The sequence below is a fragment of the Homo sapiens genome, chromosome 22 (genome assembly GCF_000001405.40).
Source record: "Homo sapiens chromosome 22, GRCh38.p14 Primary Assembly".
In the NCBI taxonomy this organism is placed as follows: Eukaryota; Metazoa; Chordata; class Mammalia; order Primates; family Hominidae; genus Homo; species Homo sapiens.
In genome coordinates this window covers 25428046-25442007 of record NC_000022.11, presented here as the reverse complement: position 1 = coordinate 25442007, position 13962 = coordinate 25428046, and the positions used below count along the sequence as shown (strand labels likewise).

Here is a 13962-nt window from a genome sequence, read left to right as displayed (position 1 = left end):
TTAGCCTGCCTGGAGGTTTATTGATTTTTTTTTTTATCTATTCATAGAAACAGCTGTTGGTTTTGATAACTTTCTCTGTTGATTTTTGATTTTTCATTCCATTGATTTCTGCAGTAATTATTGCTTTTGCTATTCTTCTGTCTGCTTTCTATAACACTGCTCTGTTTTGTCTGGTTTTCTAATGTGAAAGCTTAGGTTATTGACTTTAGGTCTTTCTTATTTTCTATCACATGGCATTCAGTTATAAATTTCCCTCCGAGCCCTGCTTTGACTGCATCCCACAGATCTTGACAAGGTACATTTTTATTTCATTTTGTTTAAAATATTTTTTCAGCTGTGTGTGGTGGCTCATGCCTGTAATCCAACACTTTGGGAGGCCGAGGTGGGCAGATCACAAGGTCAGGAGATTGAGACCATCCTGGCTAACACCGTGAAACCCCATCTCTACTAAAAAATACAAAAAATTGCCTGGCATGGTGGCTCACGCCTGTAATCCAGCACTTTGGGAGGCTGAGGTGGGCGGATCACTTGAGGTCAGGAGTTCGAGACCAGCCTAGCCAACATGGTGAAACACTGTCTCTACTAAAAATACAAAAATTAGCCGGGTGTGGTGGTGTGCACCTGTAGACCCAGCTACTCGGGAGGGTGAAGTGGGAGAATCGCTTTGAACCTGGGAGGCGGACATTGCAGTGAGCTGACATTGCACCGCTGCACTCCAGCCTGGGTGACAAGAGTGAAACTCCATCTCAAAAAATATATATGTATTTTTACAACTTCATTGAGGCATCTTCTTTGATCCATGTGTTTTGCAGAGTACATGATTTAATGTCCAAATATTTGGAGGTTTTCCATTTATCTTTCTATTACTGAATTCTAGTCTAATTTTGTAATGCTATGAAAGCATATTTTAGAAATTTCATTCATTTAAATAAGTTGTGGTATTATTTTATGGCCCACAATGTTGCCTTTTTTTTTTTTTTTTTTTTTTTTTTTAGAGGAGTCTTGCTCTGCTGCCAGGCTGGAGTGCAATGGTGCAATCTTGGCTCACCACAACCTCCTTCTCCTGGGTTCAAGTGATTCTCCTGCCTCAGCCTCCCAAGTAGCTGGGATTATAGGCATGTGCCACCAGGCCTAGCTAATTTTATATTTTTGGTAGAGAGGAGGTTTCTCCATGTTGGTCAGGCTGGTCTCGAACTCCCGACCTCAGGTGATCCGCCCGGCTCGGCCTCCCAAAGTGCCGGGATTACAGGCATGAGCCACCAGGCCCAGTGGTCTGTCTTTTTAAATCTCTGTTCTTGGCCAGGCACGGTGGCTCACGCCTGTATTCCCAGCACTTTGGGAGGCTGAGGTCGGCAGATCACAAGGTCAGGAGATTGAGATCATCCTGGCTAACACGGTGAAACCCCGTCTCTACTAAAACATATAAAAAAATTAGCCAGGTCTGGTGGCAGGCACCTGTAGTCCCAGCTACTTGGGAGGCTGAGGCAGGAGAATGGCGTGAACCCAGGAGGCAGAACTTGCAGTGAGCCGAGATTGCACCACTGCACTCCAGCCTGGGCGACAGAGTGAGACTCCATCTCAAAAAGAAAAAAAAAAACAAAAAAAAAACTCTCTTCTTTTGCTCTGAGTCTTTATATTTGAAGTGGGTTTCTGGTAGAGAACACATATTTGCATATTATTTTTATCCACTCTTCTAGTCTATGTCTTTTAATTACTGTATATAGACCATGCACATTTAAAGTGATTATTAATATGTTTGAATTATTAGCTATATTTTATAACTGTTAACATATATAACATATTGTAACATGTAATGAACATTTTTTGCCAAGTACTGTGCATCAATGGACAATGTCAAGAAAGCAGAGAGACAACCTACACAATGGAACAGAACCTTCACAAATTAAATATTTGACAAGGGAATTTATATCCGCAGTATGTAAAGCACCCCAGAACTCAACAATAAAAACAAGTAAACAACCCAGTTAAAAAATGGGCAAAGGGCCAGGTGTGGTGGCTCACACCTGTAATCCCAGCACTTTGGAAGGCCAAAGCAGGTAGATGACGAGATCAGGAGATGGAGACCATCTTGGCCAACATGGTGAAACCCCATCTCTACTAAAATACAAACAAACAAACAAACAAAAATTAGCCAGGTGTGGTGGTGCATGCCTATAGTCCCAGCTACTCAGGAGGCTGAGGCAGAGGAATCGCTTGAATCCAGGAGGCGGAGGTTGCAGTGAGCCAAGATCGAGTCACTGCACTCCAGCATGGCGACAGAGTGAGACTCTGCCTCAAAAAAAAAAAAAAGGCGGGGGTGGGGCTCGGGGGGGCAAAGGACTTGAGTATATATTTCTCCAAACACATATACAAATGGTCCAGTAAGTACAAAAAAAGATACTCAACATCATTAGGCATGAGGAAGTATGTATCAAAACAACAGTGAGACATCACTTCACATTCTCTGGGAAGGTTATAGTGAAAAAAAAAGGAAAAGTAAAATAACAACTGTTCACAAGGATGTCAAGACATTGAAAACTTTATGTATTGCTGGAGGAAAAACTGATTTAGCCATTGTGATAAAGAGTTTGGTGGAGCCTCAAAACTGTAAACATGAAACTACCGTATGACCCAATAATTCCACTGTAAGGTATATAAATATATATATAAATAAATATGTAAATATATATACATTTATATATATAGAGAGAGAGAGAGAGAAGGAACTCAGACAGATATCTGTATATCAGAGTTCATAGCAGAATTACTCACAGTAGCGAACAGGTGGAAATAACAAGAAAATCTTGATTGATACCCAGTATCAATCAACAAATAAATGGACAAGTCAAATAATGTGTATTTATGCAACAGATACTATTCAGCCATAAAATGAATTCAATGTTGATATATGCTGTTACATGGATGAACCTTGTAAAATATGCTGTGAAATAAGGCAAGGAGAGAAGGACAAATATTGCATGTTTTCACTTACATGAGATGTCTAGAATAGGCAAATTCGAAGAGACAGAAACTAGAGATGACTAGGGGGAGGAAGGAGAGAAGAGAGGGAGTTTTTTGTTTCATTTTGTTTTGTTTTGTGATTTTTTTTTTTTTTTTGAGACGGAGTCTCTGTCGCCCAGGCTGGAGTGCAGTGGTATGATCTCGGCTCACTGCAACCTCTGCCTCCTGGGTTCAAGCGATTCTTCTGCCTTAGGCTCCTGAGTAGCTGGGAATACAGGCGCACACCACCATGCTTGGCTAATTTTTGTATGTTTAGTAGAGATGGGGTTTCACCACGTTGGTCAGGCTGGTTTCGAACTCCTGACCTCATGATCCACCCAGCTCGGCATCCCAAAGTGCTGGGATTACAGGCGTGAGCCACCGCGTATGGCCTAATTTTTGTATTTTTAGTAGAGACAGGGTTTCACTATGTTGGCCAGGCTGGTCTTGAACCCCTGACTTCAGGTGATCCACCATCCTCGGCCTCCCAAAGTGCTGGGATTACAGGCATGAGCCACCGTGCCAGGCCAGAGAGCCCCACTGCTTTATATGTTTTCTTGAGCCCCTAATATTCATAGGATTGTCTGTGGATTGAAAAGTTCTCTCTCTGTATTGCAAGCCTCTGAAATCACGGAGAGCTCATCAATATTTGTGAAATGAGACCTAAGCATACTGCTTACACAGAGGCCTGGGGGACTGTGTGTTGAATGATGGTGGGACGTCCTGGGGCATTAAGTACCTGGACCCTGAGGACACTGAAGATGGGCCTGTGACCAGTAAGGAGTGCTGTGCCCTGTCCCAGGCCCTGTCTGGGGATTGCTCACAACTGGGTGAGCTCCACTGGCCTCCAGCTGGCAGAGTCAGAGCTGTCCCCTGTGCTCAGAATGTGACCCAATGGCCTGGTGCTCTCAAGGCCTGGCAGGGTCCTGTGTGTGTTTCTAACAGCTGTGTGTCCCCCTGCACAACGCTGCTGGGCCTGCACTCAGAGCAGCCCCTCCCTCAGCCTCCTCTGTCCTCAAGTCCCCTCTCAGGCTCCTGAATCCGTGATCAGGCAGGGTCTGAGGGATCCGGGAGGGGAGGGAGTGAATTTGCATGAACAGCCCCTTTTCCCTGGGAGCAGGAGGGAAATTACACAAGCCTGGGACAGCCCAGCCCCATTGTGAGGGTTAAGGGCTGTCTCCACCACGGCCTGGATTCCTCTCCTCCTCATGTCCCTCTCTCACTGCACAGGTAGGGACAGGCCTCAGAGACCCAGGGCAGCCCCCAGTCTGTTTTCATCTCTTCTGGGTCTGGCCCTGAAAATCTTTACCCTGGTCCTTGACGCAGCACCAGTGACTGTCTGTGTCTGCAGTTTCCCTCTCCAGCCTGTGCTGACTCAGCTGCCCTCCCTCTCTGCAACCCCGGTAGCATCTGCCAGACTCCCCTGCACCCTGAGCAGTGGCTTCAATGTTGGTGACTATGGGATACACTGGAGATGGCAGAAGCCAGGGAGCCCTCTCCAGCATCTCCTGAGCTACCACTGGCATTCAAATAAGCACCAGGGCTCCAGCGTCCCCAGCCGCTTCTTTGGAACCAAAGATGCCCCTGAAAATGCAGGGATTCTTTACATCTCTGGGCCCAGCTAGAGAACAAGGCTATTACTGTATGCCTGGACCAGTGATGCTTCTCACAGCGACACAGGCAGGCGGGGAAGTGGGACAAAACCTGCTGGCCCCCAGATGCTGGCCCGTCTCTTTGTTGATGTTAAAATGTATCTACACTAGGCCAGGCGTGGTGGCTTATGCCTGTAATCCCAGCACTTTGGGAGGCTGAGACAGGCAGATCACAAGGTCAGGAGATCGAGACCATCTGGCTAACACGGTGAAAGTCCGTCTCTACTAAAAATACAAAAAATTAGCCGTCCTGGTGGCTGGCGCCTGTAGTCCCAGCTACTCAGAAGGCTGAGGCAGGAGAATGGCGTGAACCCAGGAGGCGGAGCTTGCAGTGAGAGGAGATCCTGCCACTGCACTCCATCCTGGGCAACAGAGTGGGACTCCATCTCAATTAAAAAAAAAAAATGTATCTACACTATTGATACCACTTTACAAATTCAGAATTTTTTTCCAGTTTATTTTTGTTTGTTTACTAAGTATGAAGACTCAAATGACCAAAACACTTTTCAAACCAACACAACTATACACAGACATAATCTCAGAGGAATTTCTGCTGCTACATTACCTGTGCATCTGGAATTCACATCCAGAGGGCAGCCTAGAAGGAATTGTGTCCAGTCCACAAGTGAGCAGACCTGTCATCCTCCCCCCGGCAGCCTAGAAGGAATTGTGTCCAGTCCACAAGTGAGCAGACCTGTCATCCTCCCCCCGGCAGCCTAGAAGGAATTGTGTCCAGTCCACAAGTGAGCAGACCTGTCATCCTCCCCCGGCAGCCTAGAAGGAATTGTGTCCAGTCCACAAGTGAGCAGACCTGTCATCCTCCCCCCGGCAGCCTCCCTCTTGCCCCAGAGACTCCACGGTGGCCCCGAGGAGACCCCCTGCTCTCCCTCCAGGGACTGCAGCAGGGATGGCACCAGGCCTTGTCCAGAACATTCTGGGGAGTGCATCACTTAAGATTAGAATTCAGTTGTGGGGAAACTGTCACTGTGGGGGTTAAAATGACAGCTTCTTATCATGTTTTAGTTCACATAGTCAAAAAGAGTCCAGGGGTGCGAGAAGGTCACTCCTCGATTCTGACGCTTGCCCCAGTGGAGTTTTACACAAGACAATAAGATTCCCACTCCCAGAAATCCTGAAGAACAGACTTCCATCTCTTGTCAAAGCAGGATGATGCTTTTATTTATTTATTTTTTTTTGGCGGAGTCTCCCTCTTTCACCCAGGTTGGAATGCAGTGGCATGATCTTGGCTCTCTACAACCTCTGCCCCCTGCGTTCAAGTGATTCTCCTGCCTCAGCCTCCCTGAGTAGCTGGGAGCACAGATGGCGTGTGCCACCACACCTGGCTTTTTTTTTTTTTTTTTTGTATTTTTAGTAGAGATGAGGTTTCACCATGTTGGCCAGGCGGTCTCAAATTCTTGACCTCAGGTGATCCATCTGCCTTGGCCTCCAAAAGTGCTGGGATTACAGGCATGAACCACTGTGCCTGGCCGCATTTTTAAAAAATTCAATTTATTATTAAAATATAACATACAAAGGAGAAAAACACACTTTTTACATTCATGGTAAAATCAACTATACATTAAAATGAATCACTGTGGAAAACATCAGTAATTCAACAACCTTGCTGCTGACCTCTTATTCAGTTAAATGAGAGCAAGTGTTGAAACAGCTGGTGGTGGTTCACATCAAAATCAAGAGGAAGGTGCTGTTGTATGCAGATTACTCTTCTCAAATGTCATAGATTTCTTCTGTACTTGCTTAATTAGTAGTTGAAATGATAGTAATTGTACTTTTTGTTATTTCCATTTCAAATCATAAATAGAATGTTTTTGTTTTTTGTTTTTTGTTTTTTTTTTGAGACAGAGTCTCATTCTGTCACCCAGGCTGGAGTGCAGTGGCGCGATCTCGGCTCACTGCAAGCTCCACCTCCTGGGTTCATGCCATTCTCCTGCCTCAGCCTCCCAAGTAGCTGGGACTACAGGCGCCCACCACCACGCCTGGCTAATTGTTTGTATTTTCAGTCGTTGAAGTTCAAGTGAACAAGATGTATGACAAGTGACTACTCATCTGTCAGAGTGGCAGGGCCACTGAGGATGTGACAGTCATTCATCCACTCTGAAACAACTCTTCAGGATCCCTAACATAGAAACGAACATCTGGCCTTTACATGCTTTGATAAACCGATCTATTCCTGTTAAAACAGAGGCTTCATTCATCTCCAAAGCTTGTAGAGAAACCTCAGACTGGGGCCAGAGACCCTGCGGGTGCTGTGGTTTCAGGGCCTGGAGGTGACACCTCCCAATCACACAGACATTGCAGGCTCAGAGGGAGGAGCCCCTTTGAAAGAGGTGAGCAGAGTCTGGGGCATTTGTGCAAATGTTGATGAGGTCCCCAGACAACTCACAGCCTCCCAGGAAACCCTAACTGGGGAAGAAAAGATGAGGATAAGCAGAGCCCACCATGGGTGAGAAGAGAGGAAAGCCAGGGTCTCCACCACCCAGGTCCTCAGTGTCCCTCCTCCGTGTGCCCGGCCCTGTCCTGTGGGTGGAGGGTGAGGAGAGGGAGAGAAGGAAGGGTTGGCAGTTTTATAAGAGCTGGACCTCCTCCTATGAGTAGATGAAATAGTTTAATGAGATTGGTTTTGGATTTTCCAGCTTCCCTAGAGGCCGGAATCAGACTCCCAATATAAGCTCTTGGTCGCTGTGGTGAAAGTTCGTGTGTATTCATCCCCTGAGAAGGTTCCCTAACCCTTACTGTGTCTTCTGTGTGAGGAGTGCAGCTCTAAGCACTCAGGGTACTGTTTCCCAGTGAATCTTAATGAAATGTTTGGAGAATTTTTATTTCCTCCATTTAGCCTAACCAGAACAGAAACGTCAGCTCTAGAGGTAGAACAGGTCACTCAGAGTCACCCGAGCAATCACTGCTGCATGAGCTGCTGACTTGAGGTCTAAGTGATGGGAAAGTTCACCTTTCTACCTAGTTGCCTCTGAAAATGTATCCTAAAATGAAATAAACACGTTGTTTATAGCTAATCTTTCTAGGTGTCTTCATAAATCAATGAACAGACACACATTTTCCATGTGCAGATGGTGTGGAAAGTTCTGGTGTGGAAAGTTCTAGTGTGTTCCGGTTAAATCTGGGGGTCAGACCAACTCAGGAGGCTGCCCCTGAGGAGATAGGAAAGGTCCCCTGTCCCTTAATGAAGTGGCCTTGGCCAGACTTCCAACCATGGTGAGGGAGGAAGGGGGACATCCATAGCTCCTTCTCCTCCACTCTCAGGAAACCCTAACCCAGGAAATAATTCTAAAGAGATCTAGGGAGGAGGAACTGAGAGGACAAGTTGCCTCAGACAGGAAGACCCTAGGAGTGTCCATGGGGGATGTTCATAACTGAGAAGCATCATTGCTGGCCAGGGGACTGGAAAACACATCATCTTACATCCCTGCATTCCCGCTCCAAATGTTTGAAATCCCAGGAACCCACAGCCTGTCCTCTCACTCGAGCTCTCAGGGGCACTCCTGCTCTGTAGGAAATAGAAACTGTCCCTTCATTATCCCATTACGTCATTTTTGCTGCACAGAGTCTTGCACAGTGGGTCCTAGTCATTTTCCCTGTTTACCTTCATCTCCTTTCTGTCTCTTCTGAGAGTCTGATTCCATCTAGCACCTCTTCTCTTTCCTGTGAGGCCAGTTCTCCCCAGGTCCAACCTCAGGGTTGCAGTTCAAAGGTTGTCCCCTTCCCCTTCCCCTTCCGACAGAGTCTTGCATCCAGGCTGGTGTGTGGTGACACGATCACAGCTCACTGTAGCCTTGATCTACTGGACTCAAGAACCCTCCCACCTCAGCTTCGCAAGTAGTTGTGACCACAGGTACATGGCACCCACCTGTTTATTTTTGTTTGTGCAAAGGGGTCTCATTTTGTCGCCCAGGCTGGTTTAAACTCCTGGCCTCATGCCATCTTCCCACCGTGACCTCCCCACTCTACATTTTCTTCTGAGCACTGGTCTCACAGCCTCCTACAAGTTTGGTGTGCTTTGTTTCCATTTTCATTTATCTCAAAGAATTTTCGAACATCACTTGTAATTTCTGCTTTGATTCATTGATTGTTTAGGAGTGTGTTTAATCTTTACATATTCCTGAATTCAGATTTCCTTTCTTATTTCTACCTTTTTCTCTCGCAGAAAAGATATTTTGATTTTAGTGCTTTTAAATTAATGAGATTTGTTTCATGGTCTAATACAAGGTATATTCCAGAGAACACTCCATGTGTGCTGGAGAAGAATCTGTATTCTGTGAGTCTGTTGTAGATGTTGTCAGGTCTAGCTGATTTATAGTTTTTCAAGTTCTCTACTTCTTTATTGATCTTCTGTCTCATTGTTCTAGCCAGTATTGACAGTATAGTATTGCAACTATTATTGCGAAGCTGTCTGTTTCTCTCTTCAATTCCATCAGTCATTACTTCCTATACTTGGGGGCTCTGTGGTTAGACGCACATGTACTAATTGTTACATCTTCTTGATGAAGTAACTTATTTATCAATATATAATGTCCTTCTTTGTCTCTTGTAATAACTTTCATTGACAGACCCATCTCTCTTTTCCTTCATTCCTTGCCTCCTTCCCTCTTTCCTTCCTCCCTCCTTCCATCCCTCCCTCATTTAAACTGTTGGCAGGACACAGTGGCTTACATCTATAATTCCAGAATTTGGGAGGCCAAGGCAGGTGAAGTGTGTGAACCCAGAAGTTTGAGACCAGCCTGGGCAACATGGTGAAACCCAGTCTCTACAACACAACACAACAAAACAAAACCTAAAATTAGCCGGTCACCTATAGGTGCAGCTATGCGGCCACTCAGGAAGCTAAGGCCAGGGCATCTATTGAGCCCTGGAGGTCAAGGCTGCAGTGAGCCATGATCACACTACTGCACTCCAGCCTGGGTGACAGAAGGAGACCCTGTCTCAAAAAAAAAAAAAAGAAAAAAGAAAGAGAAGTACATAAATACACAGATAAACTGTTGGTTGGGAGCCGTGTATGCGCCAGGCACTAAGCTGGGGATGAGATGGGATGAAGAGTCTGGAGACTTGGGAAAAGGCTGCATCTCTGGGAGGCCACAGCTTTTCCTTAGTCAAAGAGGGTCCTGGAAGGGGTAGGTAAGATCCCTTGAAGCCAGGTCCTCCAGAGCTCCAGGACCCAAGGTGGAGCTCAGGGTGTGGGAAGGCAGCCAGGGGGCAGCATCAGGCCTGGTGGGGGGCTGGGGCTGGGAGCAGGTGGGATGTAGGGAGAGGGCTGTTCCACCCTCACCTGTGAGCTGCATGAACACCCAGTGCAGCCCTGAAATACGCTCCCCCTCTCCCTGGCCACATCTGTCTTGTTTTTCTCCTGTCCCACATCCCACGCGGCAGCCTTGGCTTCTCCTTGCCTTAGTTTTTTCCCTTGTCACCCTGAGTTCTGGTTTAGGTCAGTGTTAAGATTAACCTTAGCCTGGGGATTCCCAAGGTCAGCCAGCTGCAGGCAGGGCCACCAGAGCTGGGAAGGTGAATCCCCCACCCCCATCCCTTGGCCTGGCCCCCACCCTACTCTCACCTCAGACCACGCTGCCCCTCCAGGCCTCCCTGGCCAACTCCTTCACCCAGGAAGCTACTGGTTTCCTGAATGGCTGGTCCTCAGGGTCCCTGACCCAGCTTTTCCTTGACCAGAGCAAAGGCTGGGCCCAGGGAGGGAAAGGCACTTGCCCAGGATCACACAGTGTGTCACCCACAGGCCCAGGCAAGAACCCAGGAGATAACAGCAATGGCTGTGGGTAGGTGAGGGTCCCCGTGGGCCTGGCACTCCCTAGGCATTCTCATTTAATCCCCAAAACCAACCTGTGGGGAGAGACTGTTATCACCCCCCTGTACAGAGGAGGAAACTGAAGCCCATTGAAGGGAGTCAAACTGCCTGAGGTCAAGGGCTGCTGAGGGCTGAGCTTGGGCGGGACCCCTTTTCTGTCTGACCCCGTGGCTGGGGCTCCCACAGCAGAGGCTCCACTTGGAAGAACACGCTCTGGGCTCCTGCAGGCCTTTGCCAGCTGCCCTCCCTCCTCCTAGCCGTTCAGGGGAGGGGTGGCCATCGGACTCTGTAGCCCTGACTCGGCCTTACTCTGCTCTGAGGCCTCTTTTCTGCATCCCCGAAATGGGGTCAGAGCTGGGGAATGGTAAAGGGAGGTCACCCCACCTGAGCATATCTCGTGCCTGGCAGAGGGCAGTGCTCCATACAGGCGCCCTCCATACAAGTGTGTTCCATACAGGTGTGCTCCCATGTGAGCTTGGGCAGGCCCCTTCCTCTCCTGATCTCGATTTCCCCATTTGTCAGATGGGAGGCCCTGGGCTGAAAGTCAGGACACCCCTGAGCTGGCTCTGCCTCACTCTTTGGGATTTAACTGCTCCGGGCCTCAGTTATCCTACCTATGAAATGGGACCGTGATTCTGGCTGTGGGCCCCACAGAATCCCTGAGTGGCTCAGCCGGATAACACGTGTCCCATATTTTATAAATGGTACAGGGACAGTAAGGCCACTCAATAGCGTTTCAACACAGGACGCAACTGTCTTTAGCAGATCTGGCCAGATCTGAGGCATTCAGGGCCTTTATTCTCGGCCTTGCTCCCTCTGGGCCCTGTTCCTGCCCCTCTGCAGAGCTCTGGGGCTTAGGACATGTTAGCCTGCTGGCCCAGCCCAGCGTGCGTGTTCACAGCCCTGGTCTACCATCCACCCCAGAGAACTCTTGTGCACCCTGCAGGGCCCTGCCCTGGACCTGCCTACCCGCATCCTCTGCTCATTCAGTCTTCTTTACCAGGTGGCCACTGTCTGTGTCCCATTCAGGGCCCAGACCCCCTCCCTCCCTTGTCCCCTGCCCGCCATGAAGGCCTGGCCCAGTGCAGGGCCCAGCCATGCGGCAGAATGGAAGGAATTTTTGGGTGGTGAGCAGGGTGGCAGAGCACGTGGTATGGCAGACAGGTTCTAGGGTCTCTGAGATGATCCCTCAGCGTGCTTTTATGGGGGCCCATGTGCACCTGCCATATCCCTGTTGAGAGAAGGGGCGCTGAGGTCACTCCTGTGCCTTTGCTCACACCCATCTTCCAGCATGCCCTTCCTCCCTCTGCCCTCCAGCCCTGGTTGCAGCTCCCAGGCCTGTCTGAGGTTGCCACTGCCCCCAGGCCACCTTTGCTGACATGGAATCCCCAGTATCCCCTGCCCCTCATTTTCTTCACAGAGGGTCTTTCCTGCAGCCTGAGCTCTGGACTGGGCAGGGACAAGTACTCCCAGGGGACCCCAGTGCCACAGTCCCCTTCTGCCACGGTGCATGAGCAGGCACACTTCAGGTCTCACCTGGGGCTGGGCTAGGCCGATCCTGCCTTGCCTGGGACATCAGGAGCTGAGGGTCTATATAGGTCAGGCCCCAGGAAGCCTCAGGGGGCTTGTGGAAGGGTGGGTGTGTGTGTGTATGGACAGATATATGGATGGACAGACTGATGGAAAAACGGATAAGTAACTGTCCAGTCTGAAGTCCTGCCCATGAAGGAGAGACCCTGGAAGGCCTCTTGGGGGCAGCTGTGCTTCCAGGTTCCTTGTCACTACCCAAGACCTTAGGGTCCCACGGCAGCAATTGGAAGGGTCCCCATTTCCCTTTCCCTCCCTGTAACTGGCCAAGCCCCCTGAAATATCCAAGGTCTAGAGGCAGCAGGTGGCGTGTGACCTGCAGGTACCCACTTCCGGCTTTGGCCAATCCTGCCCACCCTGGGTCCCTCTGAGCTCTGAGTGTCTGGCTGTGCCCTACAGTTGGCCATAGCTCTGCACCTAGCATTTTGAACAGTTCCTACAGAGCCCTGAGAAGGGGGCAGGGCCTGCATGAACAGAAGCTTCTGGAGCAGAAGATGCCGCTTCTGACCCTTCACTGACTGCGATCTTGAGACCCTGTCTAGCTCAGGTCTGGGCACAGGGCCTGGGCACCTCGGTGCTGGATACAGGCCCATTTCCCAGCTGGGCTGGTGGAGGCTTCATTAACCGAATCCTCCCCTACCCCTATGTCCCCACCCCCACCAGCTTCCCCTCTAAAAACCATTTGGCAATTTTTTTTTTTTTTGAGACGGAGTCTCGCTCTGTTGCCCAGGCTGGAGTACAGTGGTGCGATCTCGGCTCACTGCAAGCTCCGCCTCCCGGGTTCACACCATTCTCCTGCCTCAGCCTTCCCAGTAGCTGGGACTACAGGCGCCTGCCACCATGCCCGGCTAATTTTTTGTATTTTTAGTAGAGACGGGGTTTCACCGTGTTAGCCAGGATGATGTCGATCTCCTGACCTCGTGATCCACCCACCTTGGCCTCCCAAAGTGCTGGGATTACAGGCGTGAGCCACCACACCCGGCCGGCAATTTCTAATAAACATATGCTTATGCATATCAAGCAAACCCTACTCCTAGGTTTTTATCCAAATGGAATGAAAACTTATGTTCAAACAAAAATTTGTTTGCAAATACTTATACTGGTTTTATTCACCATTGGCAAAAAGCAGAAACATCTGTATACACACACGGTGCACATGTACCCTAGAACTTAAAGTATAATTAAAAAAATTAAAAAGAAAACACCTGCTATTCAAAACACACACACACACACACACACACACACACACACACACACAGAACAGCAGAAACATCTGGTTTGACCCACCACACACATACACACACCCCACAAGTGGAAACAACACAATTGTCATTCAGCTGGTGAATGGCTAAACGAGATCGGGACCATCCTGGCTAACACGGTGAAACCCCGTCTCTACTAAAAATACAAAAAAATTAGCCGGGCGTGGTGGCAGATGCCTGTAGTCCCAGCTACTCGGGAGGCTGAGGCAGGAGAATGGCATGAACCCGGGAGGCAGAGCTTGCAGTGAGCCAAGATCTCGCCACTGCACTCCAGCCTGGGTGACAGAGCAAGACGGAGAATCAGACTCAGCAATAATAGGGAACAAACTATTGATCAATAAGGCAACTGGGATGAATTGCAACATTGTTACACTGAACTCAGGAAGCCAGACTCAGAAGGTTACATACTTAGACTCCTATTTAGTATTAAAAAGGAACAAAGTATGTTGCAACCGAGCCACCTGGAGGAACACCCAGAAAACTATGCTGAGTGGGAGAAAGCCAGTCCCCAGAAATCACATACTGTATGATTCCATGTGCAGAACATTCTTGAAATAACAAAATTACACAAGTGGAGACCAAATTAATAGTTGCCAGGGGCTAAGGAGGGGTTTGGGACAGTGGGAAGAGAGTG

The 13962-nt window shown here is 48.7% G+C and overlaps 1 annotated feature.

Moving 5' to 3' along the window:
• Positions 10533-11033: an enhancer, noted in NCBI's record as "H3K27ac hESC enhancer chr22:25826942-25827442 (GRCh37/hg19 assembly coordinates)". NCBI's record gives its function as "activates a minimal SCP1, AML or CMV promoter by ChIP-STARR-seq in primed H9 embryonic stem cells {active_cell/tissue: H9 hESC(primed)}" and the evidence as "EXISTENCE:reporter gene assay evidence [ECO:0000049][PMID:30033119]".